This window comes from Homo sapiens, chromosome Y (genome assembly GCF_000001405.40).
Source record: "Homo sapiens chromosome Y, GRCh38.p14 Primary Assembly".
Lineage (NCBI taxonomy): Eukaryota > Metazoa > Chordata > Mammalia > Primates > Hominidae > Homo > Homo sapiens.
In genome coordinates this window covers 8,649,146-8,670,666 of record NC_000024.10, presented here as the reverse complement: position 1 = coordinate 8,670,666, position 21,521 = coordinate 8,649,146, and the positions used below count along the sequence as shown (strand labels likewise).

The 21,521-nt window shown below is 44.7% G+C and overlaps 1 long non-coding RNA gene across 1 annotated transcript; it reads right to left on the bottom strand.

Moving 5' to 3' along the window:
- Window positions 1-9,783: 9,783 nt before the first annotated feature.
- On the bottom strand, window positions 9,784-10,625 carry LOC107987340 (uncharacterized). The gene is made up of 2 exons (XR_001756057.1): window positions 10,504-10,625; window positions 9,784-10,168 (listed from the first exon to the last, which is right to left on the bottom strand). It is a non-coding gene; the product is annotated as an uncharacterized LOC107987340 (long non-coding RNA).
- Between the last annotated feature and the right edge of the window lie 10,896 nt (window positions 10,626-21,521).

The window sequence follows — 21,521 nt, the reverse complement described above, 5'->3', positions numbered from 1 at the left end:
CAGAAAGCCAAACATGGCTGCCTGCTTCTCATTCTACAGAAATTATGCAGCCCCCCGATAGAAGAGGGAGAACAAGAGTTTCCATTTTTTTGACTGTAACATGAATTAACTGTTTTAAAAGTATAACAGATGTCCAGTCGTTAAAACATGACAGTGTTTAGAAGGAAATACTCATGCAATGGATTTCCATGAGGGTCGTCCTCTGTGAACTGGGAGTGCTTTAATGTGGAAGATGTTGAGCCAGACCCAGAAAACCCTAGGCCAATGAGGAACATGGAAGTCAGGAAAAGAAGAGGCAAATGTGAAGGCCAAAACCTAAACAACATCTATCCATCTCACTCCCATTTGCCTCCAAGTATGAAAGCCCTTAAATCGGGCTTTTCAAGCATGGCACCAATTTGCACTCCAAATGTTCCCTGCACATTAGAGTACTCCATTCTGAACACTAGGCCATGGTGCGAACTGCTTGTGCAATTAAGGGAATTCGTGGATGCAGCTGGAAGCAACTTTTTTGTCATCTGTCTTCACCTCTTTTGCAGGTAAAGGTGCAAGACCTCATCTACCCATTACCAGCTTGTATTTTCTCCTCTATCTGACCTCATTGCTCTCACATACTGTATCCCAGAATCAAATCCCAAGATGATGGAAGAGTGCTATTTCAGGATGTCAATCACTAGCTCAACTGGGAACGAAATTTGAGGAAAATTTAAGGGGCCCTGCAGACAGGACTGCTAATGCTTTTTTCCCATGTTTCCATGGGACAATGAAACACTAGGAGGTGTCTCTTTTAAGTTTTGTGTGCCTCTCTTCTATCTAGGGGAGTGGCTTTTTTTCTAGGGGGAATTGATTTGGATTCCAGGAGGTATCAGCCAGCCTTCCAGTGCACTGCAGATTCATAACCCACAGAAATATAAATAACATGGATCCCTTCAGCCCAAAAAGAGCCACACAGACAGGCAAGCAAAAGGTTGGGACACAAACAAAAAAGAAGCACTGTAGTGCATCGGTCACATTTCTGTAAGCAGACTCCCTTTACAGGAACAAACACACAGACACACACACACACAAACACACAAAGCTACTCACACACAGACATCCAACATTCACAACACTCCCACAGAAACACACAACCCAGCAGCTTCTGAGACTGTGTGGTTGTGCAGAAAACCCCACCTGGGAGACAGCAACCATGAAGAACACAGGTGGGCTGTACCTAGAAATCACAGTGGGGCAAGTTTCTAAAGGACCCATGCCTACAAGGTCTAGGCCAGCCTGAGGCATCCTGCAGATCCTTTTGGATACTTAGGGATGTCACAGTTTATTTCTGGGACTCTGCTTAATGTTTCTTCAGGCTGGCTCATGTCTTCCCTTTCCTAGGATCGTGGAACAATTCCTTCGATCCCACAGAGAAGACAGGTGAGAGTCCACTGCCTACGCACCTACCTGGAGGTTTCCTTCTCCAAACAGCCGCTGAAACTTTTTTCTAGGCAACGGTGGCATTCATTGTGAAGCTAACCAGAGTTCAACCTCAGGCCTGGTCCCTTGAGACTACTGCAGGTTCATTCAGGAGACAGGCTGAGGCACCTGTCTCTCAGAGCTGGCAGCCTGCCTAAGCAGAGGAAAATGGTAAGGCAGAGCCGGCCTGGCGTCCCAAAAAAAGTCTGCCTGCGATAACCCCTTGTGGGATGCTAAAGCTCTCAACCTCGGGGGATTTTCATGCTGCCTCTGTCATCAGGTCATGCAAGAAGAGGTGTTTCGATACTGTGAGGTGGTCTCTGGAAACTGCTTTTCTGACTCCATTTCCAGAAGACTCTATGTGCAAAAATCTGCTTCCACGGGGATAGGAATGTCATCTGGTGAGTTGTTGAGAAGTGTTTGGATACTGGAATCATACCTGAGACCCCAGAGTCAGGTGTCAGCAAAGATGGCTGGGACCTTGATGTCACTGCCTCTTTTCATCCTGGGCCTCACAGGGGCTCTCTAGAAAAGGCAGAAACCATGACAAAGGCAAATCCTACAAGGAGCAGATTTCTCACAACTCGTACTCACTTCTCACAGATGCAGGTAGGGTTGAGATAGGGTCTCAGAGGCCATCTGTGGAGATGGGAAGCCTGAAAAGGGTGTTCAGTAGTGCCGTTGAGAGGCACTGTGGACCCCAGGTGATAGCAAGGAAAAATATGGCTAGCTTGAAAGAACAAGCTGACTAATGCTGGAGTCCAAGCAACATTTAAAAATTCCTGTCAGGGGATCCAAAAATCTCCTGCAAAAAGCAAAAATCCTCAGCCTCCACAAAGAGAGCATGAACCACAACCTTGAGTGAAGCAAGTCTTCCTGAAGACCTTTTGCTCACTGAAATCCCTGGCAGCCAAAAGCTCTGTAAAGAGAGGCAGTTGCATCCAGAAACAGCCCAATGAAAGACCTTCTCCATAATGAGAAATGTCGTGCAGATTAAACCAAACAAAGGCTAGATTACCAGGTGAAATTCAGACATGGCTTCCTGCTTCTTATCCTACATAAATCATGCAGCCCTTACATAGAAGCGGGAGACTGAGAGTTTTTTTCTTGGGGGCTGTAAAGGGAATTTATGGTTATAAAAGTATCAAAGATGCCCAGTCATTAAAACACGAGTGTTTAGAAGAAAACACTCACACAATGGATTCCCATGAGGGTCGTTTTTCCTGAACTTGGATACACTTATAGTGGAAGTCGTTGAGCCAGACTCAGAAAATCTTAGGCCAACGAGGAACATGGAAGTGAGGAAAAGAGGCAAGTATGAAGGCCACATTCCACACAGCATCAGTTCATTCCACACCCATTTGGCTCTGGGTATGAAAGCCCTCAAATTGGGAGTTTGCCAGGATGACCCCAATTTGCACTCTAAATACTTCTTCTAGGTTGGAGTACTCCCACCTGCACACTGGGCCATGGTGTGAACTTCTTGTGCAATTAAGGGAATGCATGGAAGATGTTGGAAGCACCTCCTGACTCATCTCTCTTCATTTTCGTTGCAGGTGAAGTTGAGGGACCCCATCTATTTCTCACCAGATTGTATCCTCACCTCTATCTGATCTTGTTGCTGTTCACATTTTATGTCCCAAGATAAAGTCCCAATATGATGGAAGAGGCCTTCCTCATGACTTGAAGCACCTACTCATCTGGGGAAAATTTAGGTGAATTCAAGTGGCCCTGTGGACAGGACTAGTAGTGTCTCTCCCTGGGTTGGTCATATGACAATAAAATCCTAAGAAAGGTTTTTGTTTGTTTGTTTGTTTGTTTGTTTGTTTTAGTGTGGTGTGCTTCTCTTCTTTCTAAAAGATTATCTTTTCTTTTTTTTTTTGTAAGCAGAGGTGATTCAGAACTTTGCAGTTCCTGGCACACCTCCCAATTTGCTGTGGATTCACGATACACAGAAAAATAAAGAAAACAGAGTCCCACAGCCCAAGCAGAGCCACACATGGACAGGCCACCAAATGTTGGGAGACTCAAAAAAAAAAAAAAAAAAACAAGAAACGCTAAACTGTATTAACCTCAATATTTTATGCAGAATCCACTTACAGGGACACACACACATACACACACACACACACGCACACATAAAAATAAACATAAAAATAACTAAAACAGAATGACAAACACTCAGACATCAAACAATCTCAACTTTCCCTTAGAAGTACACAGCTCAGCAGCTCCTGAAAATGTGTGGTTATGCAAGAAGCCCCACCTGGGAGGGAGCAACCTACCGGAACACAGGCAGGTTTTATCTAGAAATCCCAGTGGGGCAAGTATCAAAAAGACTCATCCCTACAACATATATAGAGTTTTAAGAAATCCTGGAGATCCTCTTAGATTTTTTGGAACATCACTGTTTATTCCTATGGCTTTGCTTGATGTTTCTTCAGGCTGAGTCAGGTCTGCCCTCTCCTGGGATCAGAAGACTATCTCATGAATCCAACATAGAAAACGCTGGATTCCATTGCCTACACACTTCCATGGAGGTCTCCTTTTCCACCAAGCCACAGGGACTTGTTGTTGCTAGGCAATGACAACATTCATGGTGACACTAGCCAGAGATCACAATAAGGCCTGGTACCCTGAGGCTACTGCATGCACATTCATGAGGCAGGCAAGGGCTCCTGAATCTCAGAGCTGTCAGCATGTCTAAGCACAGGAAATCAGTACAGGAACATCCCTCCTGGTGTTGGAATAAAGCCTTCCTGTGAAAACTTACTCCAAGACTCTAAAAATCTTGACCTTGGGGACCTTTTGGGCCATCTCTGTGGTCAGGTCCCACTGGAAGAGGAGGCATCTTGACATTGTGTGATGGTCTCTGGAAATTGCACTTCTGACTTTATTCTCAAAAGAAGGTGTGTGCAAACATCAGGTTCCATCACAGTGTGTTTTTCAGGATTCTTTGGGTGATAGAATCATACCTGAGATACCAGGCCACTGTCAGTGAAAGAAGGCAAAACTCTTGACTGCACTGCCTGGCTACATCCTGGATATCACATGGGTTCTTTGAGGAGGAAAGGAACCACGACAAAGGCAAGTCCAAGGTGGAGCACGATGAGGAACATGGAAGTCAGGAAAAGAACAGTCAAGTGTGGAGGCCAGATCCCACCCAGCATCAATTTATTGTACTATCGTTTGGCTCTGGGTATGAAAGCCCTCAAATCAAGAGCTTGCCAGGATGGCCCCAATTTGCTGTCCAAATTTTCCTTGCTCATTGGGGTACTCCAACCTGAACCCTGGGCCATGGTTTTGACTGCTCCTACAATTAACAGAGAGCGGGAATGGAGTAGGAAGCACCTTCTTTGTCATTTACCTTCATTTTTTTTTTTTTGCATGTGTAGTTGGGGGACCACATCCACCACTTACTAGATTGCATCCTCACCCTTATCTGACCTTATGGCTGCTCACATTCTATATCCAAGGATGAAATGCCAAGACGACAGAGGATCACCTCCTCACTACACGAAGCACCTGCTAGGCTGGGAACAGAATTCGAGGTAAATTCAATGGGCCCTGTGGACAGGAATTCCAGTGTCTCTCCTTGGCTTAGCCACAGGACAACAAAACACTGGGCGATGTCTGTTATTTGGTGGGCTGTCCTCCTCTTCTTTCTGCAACAGTGGCTTTTTTGGCACAGGGAGTTGATTTTGATGCAGGCGGGTCTCAGCCCACCTCCCGATTCATTGAGGATTCATGATCCACAGTAAAATGAAGAACACAGAGCCCCACAACCCAAGCAGAACCACACAAATGGGCCACCAAAAGATTTGAAGACTCAAAAAAAAAAAAAAGAGAGAAGCACTGAAGTGTGTTAGCCACATACCTGTAAGCAGATTTCACTTACAGACACACACACACCCACACACACACACACACACACACAAACTTAAAATACCTCCCCCCACACGCAAACCCAGAGATTCAGCACTCTCAAAACTCCCACAGAAACACAGAGCCTGCAGCTCCTGAGGCTGCGTGTTTCTGGAGGAAGCCCCACCTGTGAGACAGAAACCCCAGGGAATACAGGCAATCTGTACCTACAAATCATAGTGGGACAAGTTTCAAAAAGACTTACACCTACGTCTAAGCAGACCTGAGGAATCTTGCAGATTCTTTATGATCCTTATGGATTTCAAGGTTTATTTTTGGGGCTCTGCTTGATGTTTCTTCAGCCTGGCTCACATCTGCCCTTTCCTAGAATCATGGGACTGTCCTGTGGATCCGACAGAGAAGACAGGAGAGAGTCCACAGCCTATGAATTTCCATGGAAGACTCCTCTGAAAAGCCTTAGAGACTTGTCACTAGGCAGTGGTGACATTTATTGTGACAGTCACCGAAGCTCTCAATAAGGCCTGTTGCCCTGAGATTTGTGTATACATGTTTGTGAGGCAGGTTGTGGTGCCTGGTTGTCAGAGCTGTCAGACTGCCTAAGCAGAGAATACTGGTACAGTCAGAGCCATGCTAGTATCAGAAAAAAGTCTTCCTGCGAAAACCCACTGTGAGATCATAAATATCTTGACCTCATGACCCCTATAAGTCATCTCTCTGGTCAGGTCCCACTGAAGGAGAAGGTGTTTTGAGACTGTGGGCTGGTATCTGAAAACTTCTCTTCGGACTCCATTCCTGAAAGAGATTGTGTGCAAGAATCAGGTCCCATGGGGATTGGAATATAATCTGTTGTGTTTTCAAGGGTTCTTTGGGTGATAAAACCATATCTGAGAACCGGAGTTTGATGTCAGTGAAAGATGGCTGTGCCCTTCAACTCACTGCCTCCCTTCATCCTGGACCCCCAAGAGACTTCCTGGGAAAGACAGGAACCATGACAAAGGCAAGTCCAAGGTAGACCAATGTTCTCACACCTTGAACTGGCCTCTCAGAGGTGCAGATGAGATTGAGACAGTGTCTCAGAGGTAACCTGTGTCAATGGCAGGACTCAAAAGGGTGTCCAGTACTGTTGTTGAGGGGCAGTATCGATTCCCCATGAAAGCAAGGAAAAATCAAGGCTCATCTGAGGTAAAGAGCTGCCTTGTGCTGGAGTCAAAGCAATGTTCAATGATTCCTTTCAGAAGACCCGAAAGCCTCCTGCAAGGTGCAAACAACCTCAGCCTCCACTATGAGACAACAACCCACACCTTGCTGAACAGCCAGCGTACCCGAAGTCCCTTTTGCTCTCTGAAATACCTGGGAGCTAAATAATATGTGGCAAGAGGCAGTCCCATCCAGAAACAGCCCAATGAAAAGAGCCCATCCACAATGAGAATGCCGTGAAGTGAAGATGAAATAAAACAGGCTAGATTACCAGGCAAAATGCCAACGTGGCTATATCCTTCTAATCTTGTGGAAATCATGCAGCCCTCTGATAGAAGTGGGGGAACTAGAGGTTCCTTGTTTTTGGCTGTAACAGGAATTTACAGTTTAAAAATAATCAAATTTGCCCAGTCATTTAATTGCAACAGTGTTTAAAAGGAAACACTCATGAAATGGATACAGATGAGAGTCATTCTCCAAGAACTGGGAAATATTTAGTGTGGAAATCTTTGAGCAAGATCCAGGAAACTCTAGGCCAATGAGGAACATGGAAGTCAAGAAAAGAAGAGGAAAGTGTGGAGGCTACATGCCACCCAGCATTGATCCATTCCACTCCTATTTGGCTCCAGGTATGTAAGCCCTCAAATCTGGAATTTGTCAGTATGGACCCAGTTTGCATTCCAAATGTTTCTTTCACATTGGAGAACTGCCACTTGAACACTGGGCCACGGTGTGGACTGCTAGTACAATAAAGGGAAGGTGGGGATGGAGTTGGAAGCACCATCTGTGTAATCTCTCTTTATTGTTATTATCATTTTTGGAGGTGAAGTTACGGAACCCCATCCATGCCTTACCAGACTGTATCTTCACCCCTTTATGACCTTATTGCTGCTCACACTCTATGCCCTAGGATCAAATCCCAAGACAATAGAGGCACTCCTCCTCATGACATGAAGCACCTGCTCGGTGGGATACTGAATTCGAGGTAAATTCAACTTGCCCTACCAACACGCCTGTTAGTGTCTTTTTCTGGGTTGGCCACAGGACAATTACACACTATGAGATATCCATTTTCTTGCTATGGTTGTCTCCTCTTTTTTCTAGAAGAGTGATTTTTTTTTTTTTTCCAGAGGGAAATGATTTTGACACTGACGGTCTTGGGCTGCCTCCTAATTCACTCCAGATTCATTATCCATGAAAACGTAAAGAACATGGACCTCTGCAGCCCAAGCAGAGGCACACGACAGGCAAACAAAAGGCTGGGTGACAAAAAAAAATGAAGTGCTGATGTTCTTTAGCCACATTTTTGTAAGACTTTACTTACAGGTGCACACACACACAGACACACACACACACAAAGCCACACACACTCAGACATCCAACACTCACAACACTCCTACAGAAACACACAGCTCTGCAGCTCATGAGGCTGCGTGGTTCTGCAGGAAGCCCCACCTGAAAGAGAACACCCCAGGGAACACAGGTGGGCTGTACCTGGAAATCACAATGTGAGAAATTTCAAAAAGACACCCCTACAGTGTGTAGGCTGGCCTGAGGAATCCTGCGGATTATTTTTGGATGCTTAGGCATTTTGCGGTTCATTCCTGGGGGGGTGCTTGATGTTTCTTCAGCCTGACTCACATCTGTCATATCCTAAGATCATGGGACATTCCCATGGATACCACAGAGAAGACACGCGAGAGCCCACCACCAATGCACCTCCACGGATGTCTTCTCTGCCAAGCTGCAGGGACTTTTTACTAGGCAACTGTGTCATTCATTGTGTCGCTAGACAGAGCTCACAATCAGGCCTCGTGACCAGAGACTGGTGCATGCGCATTCATGACACAGGTTTGAGCATCCGGCTGTCAGAGCCGTCAGCCTGCCTAAGCAGAGGAAAATGGTATAGGCAGAGCTGTCCTTGTATCAGAAAAAAAGGTTCCATGTGAAAACCCATGGTCAGACCCTAAAAGTCTTGACGTCAAGGACACATCGGCCATCCTGTGGTTTGGTCCTGCTGGAAGAGAAGGCTTTTCGACATTGTGCGGGGGTTGCTGGAAACTGCTTTTCTGACTCCACTCATGAAGAAGGCTGTGTACCAGAATCTGGTCCATGGGGATTGGAATATAATCTGGTGTGTTTTCAAGGGTTCTTTGGGTGATATAATCATAGCTGAGACCTCAGAGATGGCTGTCAGTCAAAGATGGCCAAACTCTTGACCTCAGTTCTTCCATTCATCTGGGGCTTTATGGTAAAGGTAGGAACCACGACAAAGCCAAGTCCAACGTGGAGAGTGTTCTCACACCTCGGACTGGCCTCTCCAGTTTGCACATGAGGTTAAAACAGTTTCTTAAAGGGGGTGTGTGGTGCTGGCAAGCTGACAAAAATGTGTCCAGTTGTGCTGTTGATGGGTACTGTGGATTCCCCATGAAAGCAAAGAAAAATCAAGTCTCACCTGAAAGAACAAACTACCTTCTGCTGGAGTCCAAGCAATGTTCAATGATTCCTGGCAGAGGACCCAAAAGAATCCTACAAAGTGCAAACAACCTCAGCCCCCAGAGGGAGGAAATGACCCACAACCTAGAGTGTAGCCAGCTGACCCGAAGTCCGCTTTGCTCTCAGAAATCCCTGGTAGCTAAACAATCTGTGGCAAAAGGCAGTCCAATCCAGCAATGGCCCATTTAAAGAAACCCTCCACAATGAGAATGTCATGCAGATAAAATGACACAGAGGCTAGATTACCAGGCAAAAGTCAGACAATGCTACATGCTTCTCTCTCTGCAGGAATCATGCAGCCCTCCTATAGAAGCAGGAGAACAAGAGTTTCCTTGTTGGTGGCTGTAAAGGGAATTTAGAATTTTAAAATTATCAAAGTTGCCTAGTCATTAAAACATGACAGTGTTTAGAAGGAAACATTTACACGATGGATTCCCATGAGAGTCGTTCTCAGTCAGTGGGGAAACATTTACTATGGAAGTTGCTGAGCTAGACTCAGGAAAACCCAGGATGATGAGGAACATGAAAGTCAGAAAAGGAAGAGGCAAGTGTGGAGGTTACATCCTAATAAGCATCAATCTATTCCACTTCCTTTTGGCTTCAGGTATGAAAGGATGGCTCTAATTTGCACTCTAAATATTCCTTGCACTCTGGAGTAGTCCCAGTTGAACACCAGGCTATGTTATGGACTGCTTTTGCAATTAAAGGAATCTGAGGATGGTGTTGAAAGAAACTTCTGTGGTATTTGTCTTCTTCTTCTTTTTTTTTTTTTTTGCAGGTGAAATTGTGAGACAACATCCACCCCTCATCAGATTGCATCCTCACCTCTATGGGATATTGCTGCTTACATTCTATTTCCCAGGGTAAAATCCCAAAACAATGGAGGAGTGCCGTCTCGTAAAATAAAGCACCTGCTCAGCTGGGAACCGAATTACAGATAAATTTAAGGTGCTCTGCAGACAAGACTGTAGTGTCTCTTCCTGGCTTAGCCTCATGACAATGAAACACTGGGATTTTTTTTTCTCTGGTGTACCCCCCTTCTTTCTAGAAGAGTGGCTTTCTTGGCATGGGTTGATAATTTGAATGCCGCCAGGTCTCAGCACGTCTCCCAATTCACTGCAGATTTATGATCCACCTAAAAAATAAAGAACACGTTGTCCCACAGCCCAAGCAGAGCCATACACACAGGCAAACAAAAGGTTTTGAGACTCCAAAAGCAAGGGCTGAACTGTGTTAGCTACATTTCCTTAAGCAGACTCCACTTACAGTCAACACACACACTTTAACACACAATGCCATACACACAGGAAGACATCCAACACTCGCAGCACTCCCACAGAAACACACAGCCTGGCATATCCTGAGGCTGTGTGGTTCTGCAGAAAGCCCCACCTGGAAGAGAGGAACTTGGGGAAACACAGCTGGGCTGTAGCTAGAAATCACAGTGGGGCAACTTTCAAAAAGACTCACCCCTAGAACGTATAGGCATGCCTGATAAATCCTGCAGATCCTTTTGGATCTCTGGGAATTTTGCGGTTTATTCCTAGGGCTTTGCTTAACATTTCTTCTGGCTGGCTCACATCTGCCCTCTCCTCGAGTAATGGGACTATGCCATGGATCTCACAGAGAAGACAGGTAAGAGTCCGCCGCTGAAGCACCTCCACAAATATCTTTTCTGCCAAGCCCCAGGGACTTGTCGCTAGGCAACGGTGACATTCATTGTGATGTTAGCAAGAGCTCACATTCATGCCTGGTGCCCTGAGTCCAGATCATGCCTATTTGTGGGCAAACTCAAGAGCCTGGCTGTCAGAGTTGTCAGCTTACCTAAGCAGAGGAAAATGGTACAGGCAGAGCCACCCTGGTGTTGGGAGGTAGGCTGCCTGCAATTACCCACTGCAAAACCCTAAATGTTTTGACCTTAGGGCCACACAGGCCATCTTTGTGTTTGGGTCCTGCTGAAGGAGGAGGCATTTCAAGACTATGAGGTGGTCATGGATAACTGCTCTTCTGACTCCATTTCCCAAAGAGATTGTGTACAAGGATTGGGTCCCATGGTGATTGGAATGTAGTCTGGTTAGTTGAGGAGGGGTCTTTGGGTGATAGAATCATACCTGACACCCCAGAGGTGGGCATCAGTGAAAGATTGTCTTCTCACCCCTATCTGACCTCATTGCTTCTCATATTCTTTGTGCTAGAATGAAATCCCAAGACCATAAAAGAATGTCCCCTGATGATGTGAAGCACCTGCTTGGCTGGGAACCAAATTCAGGGTAAATGTGAGGGGATCTGAGGAAAACACTGCCAGTGTCTTTCCCTGGGTTGTCCACAGGCTAGTGAAACTCTGGGAGATGTCTGTTCTTGGGTGTGGTGTTCTCCTCTGCTTTCTAGAAAAGTGGCTTTTTTTGCAGGAAGAGGTGATTTGAACCACGGCATGTCTCAGCCAGCCTCCCAATTGACTGCAAATTTATGATCCACAGAAAAATAAAGAACATGGAGCCACGCAGCCAAAGTGGAGCCATGTGGACAGGCCACCAAAGGATTGAAAGACTCAAAAAAAAAAAGAGCTGCAGTGGGTTATCCACATTTCTTTAAGCAGACTCCACTTACAAGCACACACAAACACACACACACAGAAACACAAATCCACACCCACATGCAGAAATTCAACACTTGAAACATTCACAGAAACACGCAGCCCAGCAGTTTCTCAGGCTGTGTGGTTCTGCAGGAAGCACGATCTGGGAGAGAACAATCCTTGGGAGCACAGGCGGGCTGTACCTAGAAATCACAGAGGGGCAAGTTTCAGAAAGACTCATCTCTCCAATATCAAGCCAGCCCAAGAGTCATTCCGCAGATCCTTTTGGACCCTTAGGGCTTTCATGGTTTATTCCTGGGGCTATGCTTGAAATTTCTTGAGGATGGCTCAAGTCTGCCTGCTTCTAGGATCATGGGACTCTCCCATGGATCCCACAGAGAAGACAGGCAAGAGTATACCACCGATGCACCTCCACGAAGGTCTCCTCTGCCAAACAGGGACTTGTCATTAGGCAATGGTGGCATGCATTATGAGGCTAGCCAGAACTCACAGCTGAGGCTTGGTTCCCTGAGATTACTGTGTGTGCATTCAGGAGTCAGGTTTGTGTGCCCAGCTATAAGAGCTGTCTGCCTGACTAAGCTAAGGAAAGAGGAACAGGTAGAGGTGGCTAGGTATTTGGGAAGAGGCTGCCTGCAGTTACCCACTGTGGTACCCTATATTTCTAAACTTTAGGGACTTTTAAAACTGTCTCTGTGGTCAGATTCTGCTGCAGGAAGAGGACTTTTGAGACTGTGAGGTGGTCACTGGAAACTACTTTTCTGACTCCATTCCTGAAAGGGGCTGAGTGCAGGAATTGGGTCCAGTGGGGATTGGAATGCAGTCTAGTGAGTTGTTGAAAGGGTCTTTGAGTGATGTAATCATACCTGAGACCCTAGAGGTGAGTGTCAAAATATCATGGACATACCCTTGACCTCACTGCCTCCCTTCATCCTTGGCCTCACACGGGCTCTCTGGAAATGGCGGAAACCATGACAAATGCAAGTGCTAGGTGGAGCAGTGTTCCCATACCTCAAACTTGTCTCTGACGTGTGCAGAAGAGATGGACATAGTGTTGCAGAAGCCATCTGTGGTGATTGAAAGCCTGAAAAAGATGTCAGAAATGCTGTCATGGTGCAATTAGGAACCTACATGAAAACAAAGAAAAGTCAAGGCTCACCTATGAGAACAAACTGAATTGTCCTGGAGTCCCAGAAACATTCAAAGATTCATGCTACAGGACCCAGAAATCTTCTGCAAAGTGCAAACAACCTGAACCACCACAATAAGTTCACAACACACCACTGGGAGAACAGACAACCTACCCATGGTCCCTTTTGCTACCTGAAATCCCTGGCAGCCAAAAGAACTGTTGATGGGGGAACTCCTGTCCAACAAAAGCTTAATGAAAGAGCCCCTCCACAATGAGAAAGGACATGAAGATGAAGTGAAATAAGCCTTGATTTTCAGGCAAATCCAGACAGGGTTCGCTGCTTCTCATCCTGCAGGAATCAAGCAGTCTTTCAATAGAAGTGGGAGAACAGGGGCCAGGCACGGTGGCTCATGGTTGTAATTCCAGCACTTTGGGAGGCAGAAGTGAGTGGATCATGAGGTCAGGAGATCAAGAACATCCTGGATAACACCAGGATGAACCCTTGTCTCTACCAAAAAATACAAAAAAATTAGCCAAGCATGGTGCTGGGTGCTAGCAGTCCCAGCTACTCGGGGGGCTGAGGAAGAAGAATGGCCTAAACCCAGGAAGCAGAGCTTGCAGTGAGCTGAGATCATGCCACTGCACTCCAGTCTGGGCAACAGATTGAGACTTTGTCTCAAAAAAATAAAATAAAATAAAATAAAAATAAAATAAAATAAATAAAATAAAATAAAATAATATAAAAATAAAATAAATAAATAAGTTGGAGAACAAGAGTTTCCCTGTTGGTGGCTTTAATGGGAATTTTTGCTTTTAAAAAATCAAAGCTTCCCAGTCACTAAAACATGACAGTGTTTAAAAGGAAACACTCACACAATTGATTCCCCTGGGTGTCAACCTCCAGGAAGTGGGAAACATTTAGTGTGAAAGTTGTTGAGTGAAACCCAGGATACCGTAGGCTGACAAAGAACATGGAAGTCAAGAAAAGAAGAGGAAAGTGTGGATACCACATCCCACCGAGCATCAGTCCATCCCACTCCCATCTGGCTCCAGGAATGAAAGCCCTGAAATCGGGAGTTAGCTAGGATGGCCCCAGTTTGCACTCCAAACGTTCCCTGCATGTTGGAGTACTTCCTCATGAACACCGAGCCATGGTGTGGTTACTTGTGAAATCAAGGGAATGCAGGAATGCAGTTGGAAGAACCTTCTGAATCAGCTGTCTTCACCTTATTTACAGTTTAATGTGTGGGACTACACCTACCCTCACCAGATTGTATCCTTACCCCATCTGACCTTATTGCTGCTCACACTTTATGTCCCACAATGAAAACACAAGGCGATGGAGGAGATCCCCTTCATGATGTGAAGGACCTGCTTGCATGGGAACTGAATTTAGGTAAATTTAAGGGTCTTTGCAAACAGGACTGCTATTGTCTCTCCCTGGATTTGCCACAGAGCAATGAAACACAGAGAGATGTAAGTTCTTGGGTGTGACATGCTTATCTTCTTTCTAAAAGAGTGGCTTTTTTTCTCTCTCTTTTTTTACAGGGAGATGTGATTTGGACAGTGGTATGTCTCAGCCAGCCTCCCAATTAACTGCAGATTCATGACTCACAGAAAAATAAAGAACACAGAGTTCCACAGCTTAAGTAGAGAAACACAGGTCACCCAAAGGTTAGGAGACTCTGAAAAAAAGAAAAAAGAAAAGAAAAGAAATCAAGGCTAGCCTGAGAGAAGAAGCTGCCTTGTGCTGGAGTCCAAGCAATAGTCAATGATTCCTGTCAGAAGATTCAATAGCCTCATGTAAAGTGCAAACCGCCTTATCCCCCACAATGAAACAATGGCCCACAACCTGGAGTGCAGCCAGCCCAGATGAAGTCTGTTTTGTTCTCTGAAATACCTGGAAGCTAAATTATCTGTAGTGAGAGGCAGTTTCATACAGCAACAGACCAATGAAAAAGACCCTCCAAAATAAGAGAGCCATGCAGATGAAATAAAACAGAGACTATATTACCAGGCAAAAGCCAGACTTTGCTGCCTGCTTCTCATTCTACAGGAATCATGCAGCCCTCCGATAGAAGCAAAATAATAACTTTCCTTGTTGGTACTGTTAATGAGAATTTATGCTTTTAAAAGTATCATAATTTCCCAATCATTACAATTTGAGAGTTTTTACAAGAAAACAATCATGGAATGTATTCTGAAGAGGTTTGTAAGCCATGAACTGGGAAACGTTTAGTGTGGAAGTCATTGAGCCAGACCCAGGAAACACTAGACCAACAAGGAACATGGAAGTCAAGAAAAGAAGAGGCAAGTTTGGAGGCCACATCCCAACCAGCATCAATTGATTCCACTCCTATTTGGCTCCAGGTGTGAAAGCCCTCAAATCAGGAGTTTGCCTGGATGGCCCCAGTTTGCACTAGAAATGCTCCTTGCATGTTGGAGTCCTCCCACCTGAACACTAGGCCCATGGTGTAGACTAATTGTTTAATTAAGGGAATGTGAAAATGGAGTTGGAAGCACCTTCTGTATCATCTGTCTTTATTTTTTTTGTAGGTGAAGTTGTGGTACAGCATCCACCCCTCACCACATTGTGTCCTCACCTCTATCTGACCTATTGCTGCTCCTACTCTACATCTCATGATGAAATCCCAAGATGATGGGGGATTACCCTCTCATGACATGAAGCACCTGCTCAGTTGCAACAGAATTCAAGTTAAATTCAAAAGGCCCTGGGGACAGGACTGCTCATGTCTCTTCCTTGGTTGGCTGCAGGACAGTGAAACACTGGGAGATGTCTTATTTATTTATTTTTTATGTGTGTGTGTCTGTGTGTGTGTGTGTGTGTGTGTAGTGTGCTAGTCTTCTTTTCAGAAGACTGGCTTTTTTTTCTTTTTCTTTTTCTTTTTTCTTTTTTTTTCAGTGGAAGGTGTTTTGGCTGACTGCGGGTCTCAGCCAGCCTCTGTATTCACTGTGGATTCATGATCCACAGAAAAATAAGGAACACAGAGCCCCTTAACCAAAGCTGAGCCACACAGACAGGACACCAAAAGGTTGGGAGACTCAAAAAACAAAAGAAGTGCTGGTGTGTTAGCCACCTTCCTTTAAGCAGACTTCACTTACAGGCATGCGTACACACACACACTCACACATACAAGCAGACATCCAACATTCACAACACTTGCACAGAAACACACAGTTCAGCAGTTCCAGAGACTGCATAATTCTACAGGAAGCCCCACCTAGGAGAGAGCATCACCTGGTTACACTCGTGTGCTGTACCTAGTAATCACAGTTGGGCAAGTTGCAAAAAGGCTCACCACTACAAATTGTAGGCAGACCTGAGGAACCCTGCAGATCTTTTTGGATTCTTAGGTATTTCTTGATTTATTCCTGGGGCTATGCTTGACCTTTCCTTAGGCTGGCTTACATCTCCCCTTTCCTAAAATCATGGGACTATATTGTGGATCCCACAGAGAAGACAGATAAGAGTCCACCACTGATGCATCTCCACGGAGGTCTCATCCAGCGAGCCACAGGGACTTGTTGCTAGGCAACAGCTCACAATCAAGCCTGGTGCCCTGAGACTAGGGCAGGTGCATTCCTGATGCCGACTCTAGAGCCAGCTCTCTGACCTGTCAGCATGCCTAAGCAGAGAAAAATCATACAGGCAGTGCTTGTCTGGTATTGGGAGAAAGGCTCCCTATGAAAACTCAGAGTGGAGCCATAAAAGTCTCAACCTCATGACCCCTTCTGTTGTCTCCGTGGTCAGTTTCCGATGGAGGAGGAGGCATTTTGAGATTGTGAGGTGGCTGCTGGAAACTGCTCCTCTGACTTCATTCTGGAAAGATACTCTGTGCAAGAATTGAGTCCCACGGGAATTGGAATATAGTCTGGTGTGTTTTTGAGGGTTCTTTCACTGATAGAAACATAGGTAAGACCCCAAAGGTGGGTGTAAATGAAAGATGGCAGGACTGCTGTTGTTACTGCCTTCCTTCATCCAGGGCCTCAGAGGTGCTGTCTGGAAAAGGCAGGAATCACAACAAAGGGAAGTTCAATGTGGAGCAGTGTTTTCACACCTTGGACTGGCCTCTCACAGGTGCATATAAGATTGAGACAGCATCTCCAAGGCTGTCTGCACTGATGGCAAGCCAGTAAAGTATGCCAAGTAATGCTGTTGAAGGGCACTGTGGATTCCCCATGAAAGTAAGGAAAAATTAAGGCTCACCTGAGAGAATGAGCTGCCTTGGGCTGGAGTCCAACCAATGTTCAATGATTCCTGACAGAAGACCCTAAAGCCTCCTGCAAAGTGTAACTAAACTCAGTTCCTCCTGCAAAGTGCAACCAAACTCAGTTCCCACAACAAAACAATGACCAACAACTTCGACCACAGCCAGCTTAGCCAAAGTCTTTTTGCTCTCTGAAATACCTGGCAGCTAATTAATCTGTTCTGAGAGGCAGTCCAATCCAGTAGCAGCACAATGAAACCACACCTCCACAATTAGAAGGCTGTGCATATGAAATGAAACAGAAGCTAGATTACCAGGCAAATGCTAGACAAGGCTACCAGCTTCTTATGCTACAAGAATCATGCAACCCTCCAATAGAAGTGAAAGAAGAAAAGTATCTTTGTTGGAGTCTCTAATGACATTTTATGGTTTTATAAGTATCACAGCTGCCCTGTCATTAAAACGAGACAAAGCTTAGAAAGAAACACTCACAATGAGAGTCATTCTCATTGAATTGGGAAACGTTTACTGTGGAAGTCTTTGAGCCAGACCCAGGAAACCCTAGGCTGAGGAGGAAAATGGAAGGCAGGGAAAGAAGAGACAAGTGTGGAGGCCACATCCCACACAGCATCAATCCATTCCACTCCCATTTCACTCCAGGTATGAAAGCCCATAAATCAGGAGTTTTCCTGGTTAGCTGCTATTTGCACTAAAAATATTACTTGCACATTGGTGTACTTCTTCTACTGTAGCAGGATGAGCTGCAGACAAAACCCTTCAGACACCTAGTTAAATAAGGAAGTGTCTTTATTCTGCTGGGAGTTTGGGCAGATTGCATTTCAAAAACTGAGCTTCCTGAGAGAGAGTTTCTTGCCCCTTTAAAAGGCTTACACCTCTAAGTGAGCCCACTTGAAAGGGTCGTGATAGATTGGGCCAGCATGGACAATGTGGCTGGGCTCCATGCATTGGTAATCAGGACAGCACAGAAAGTTTCACATCCCTTTCTCATACAAGGTCTGAAATCTATAGATAATACAAATGTTTAGGTCAGGGGCTGATTTTTAACTAGCAGGCCTGGGCTGTGGCACTGGACTCTCTTACTATTGATCTCATTTCTGCCTTTCTTTAGCTTTTGCTTTCTCTTTCTTTTTCTGAGTTATGAGACAATAAGAAAGGTGGTCTCTTTCCTTATTACCCCCTTTGAGGATCTCACTTATTAGTGGGAGTACTTATCATCCTCAGTACCTGGGTCTTCCTGCAAGACAGATTGATATGGATTCATGTAACATACTTGTTCTGAAGCACTTTGGTGGACAAAGTCAGTAACAGACTTTCTCATTATTTGAAGGAGCATGGGCAGCAAGTAGGAGAACAACAAGCCAGTTCCTATTTCTATTGTTATTCTTATTACAATAGTTTTAAATCTTCCTAGTGCTGGGATACCATTTTCCAAATACTAATCCAGGATCAAACCCATGTAAAACCTGTATAAAAACATGTGCCAGCTTTGTCATATCTCTGATTATATTTTTGACATTTTTCCTTGATCTTCTATATGCGGACAGCCATTGACTAGGTTAAATTTTCCACAGACTGCTCCTTCAGCTGCTAGCAAGTAGTCTAGGGCTAATCTATTTTGATAAATAGCATTTGTCATCTAGATTTACTGCCTAGCTAAAGCAGTCAAAACTCTACTGATTTTATTAGTGATTATTTCTAAGACAGCTTGCAACTATATGATCCTGTTGATCATTTAATGGGGGTTTGGCATCCCCAGAGCTATATTGTGCCCAAGGGTCAGGTTGATATTACTGTATGATTATTTCAGGGGGCCACTCATCATCTTTTCAATCACCGGTAGCTATGCTTCTCTTTTCTAAGGAAGCATAGACCAGAAAACCCAGGAGTTCACCTGTTTTCCTGAGCAGTAGGAATAAAGATGGTTTAATGGTGCTGATAACACAACTACCTGACCATTGGTGAGATAACTTGGGGTAGGCTCTATGCCCACATATCCGTTATAGTCTAGTGGTGGCAGTCTAGTCCCAATGAGTCTCTGAATGGGTCCACATAGATTACAACTTTGGAAATTTATTAAATGGATTTTTCTCAGTGTGGTTTGAAACCCACCAAATGGCTGTTTTTACTTTGCCATTATACAGTTTTTGCCCAAGGCAGATGAGCCTTCCCAGAGGGAGGGTGAAGTTCTTTCCTTCTCTAACTATGCAGTACTGCCTAATAATTGGGTAGTTAAGAACCAGAAGTTGTCAGTGTGGGCATTCTGGACTGGAATCCTATCAGGAACTGGATTAGTGGGCACTAATTCTCCGGTTTCCCAACACCACTGTTCTTCCACAGTGGTTAACTCACATACATAACAGGAAGTACATTGAGGGAATGGGCTACATTTTCTGCTAACAGCAGGAACAGCTTCTTTGTCTTCCCTGGGAGCCCTGGTACTGGCACATTCAATTCATCATACAAGGTCTGAAACACTGGTTTGAGAGAGTGCCTTTTCAACACTCCTAGGACTAAAATATTTACTCGAGGACCAGTTCAGCTCCATTGATCCATAGAGTTACATGTTCTCCCTTTTGTCAATGGGGGACTAGGAGTTTGGTGATTATTACTTCTAAGGGGTTACAGTGGCCATTCATGCAAGAGGAATCACCCTTTCCTTTTTAAAGCCATACCAGATCTTTTTCATTCTTTTTCCAGGTAGCCCAAATGATGCCAGACCAGTAATTCCATACTTTTTCACATAAGCCTAACTCATGACAAATATACTAATTGTCTGCTGTATAACTTTTTTATCAATCTAGAGAGCCACATCCTAATCCTTACTGGTTGCTATTGATGGATTCACAAGCATCAAAATTTAAGATTATCTGTTTGGGGTTTCCTTTTTCTTCTATTTTAGCTATTGTTTTACTTGTATCAGTAAGAAATGGACCAGTTCTTCATCTTATTTCAAAGACTGTGATCATAGGAGGCTCAGATGGGTTGTAGTACAAATCAGGTCAGTCATTTCCTAGGCTGCACACTTTATACTGAGTCGAATTATATAGGCAAGTTCCTTTTGAAGTTCCTAGGCATTCATAATAAATATAAAACAAAAAGATTCTTTGAACTTGTTGTACTACCTCAGTAACCTGATGAATAAACTGGGAACAGTCCTCCATGCAGGAAAAATCAGTCTTTATTATAGAAGTACAAATTTTAAGGAGAATAAATCCCATGATGAGTATCCTCATTCTTTTGCCATGCATACAACAGTAAGCTTCTGGTTGTGACTGTAGCAGGGCTTGCCATCTTTCTCAATGTCACTTTGCAGGGGTCCACCAGGCTCAGTCTCACCTCTCAGGTCTCAGACAATGTAGATGATACATGACTGTGATTGATCCAGGCTGGGAATCCTTCTATTTTCATGCTGTGAGAGTCGTCAAAATGATGGTCTGGGGTCCTTCCCACCGTAGTTGTGGGTGGGCTACATTCCAGTCCTTGATCCACACATGATCACTTGGGGAGAAGAGGTGAACAAGGAAGAATAAGCTAATAGGGCAACTTTCATTTACCCAGGCTGAAATTGTTTGTGTAATTTTTCCTACAGCCTGTAGTTGTTGCTCTAACTCAATTTCACCTAAATCTTGAGGCGTCCCTGGGTGTCTCTATAATAAGGGAGGGGTTCTGTGATATGACATTTCATAAGGGGAATATCCTGTCCTTTTACAAGGGGTACATCTTGTCTTAAACAATACCATAGGGAGAGCCTGTAATCATTTTAATCTTGTTGCCTGGCACACATTCCCTAAGCTATTTTTCATAGTCCAATTCAATCGTAACACATTTCCAGAACTAAGAGGTAGGTAGGCTGCATGCAGTTTCCATGTGATCCCCAATATGTTTACTGTCTTCTGCACGAAATCAGCCACAAATGCCAGCCCATGACATGAGCTGATTCATAAGGGCAGTTCAAATCTAGGAATAAGATCTCGAAGAAGCACATGGGTTACTTCATGAGCTTTTCAGTTTGTGTTGGGTAAGCCTCTACCCACCAAGAGTAGGTAGACACAAGAACTAGAAAATACTTGTTACCTCCACACTTTGGCATTCCTGTGAAGTCCACCTGGAGGTCTTCAAAAGGGGCTGCTCCCTCAAGTTGTATGCTGGGCAGAACGGCTGGACCCTGCCTCACATTGTGCTGTTGGCAGGTAATACATCACTGCACCACCGTTCTGGCAAGGGCTGAAAAATATGAGACACAGAAGTACCTGCATAACAACTTGTCAAGTGATTCCTGACCTAGATGGGTAGTTTCATGCACAGCAACCTCAAATGAGACTCCTAGCAGTTGTGGCATGGTTGTTCTTCCCTCTGGTAACCAGATCCATCCCTCTTTTGCTGTATGCCCTCCTTCACCTGAAAAAAGGCTTTCTCTTCTTTAGAATAGGTAGGTACAAGGTCAGATGCCTGAGGAAGCAGGAGGGCTTAGACTGATGACTGGTAAGGGCCAGAGACTGATTTTCAAACCTCT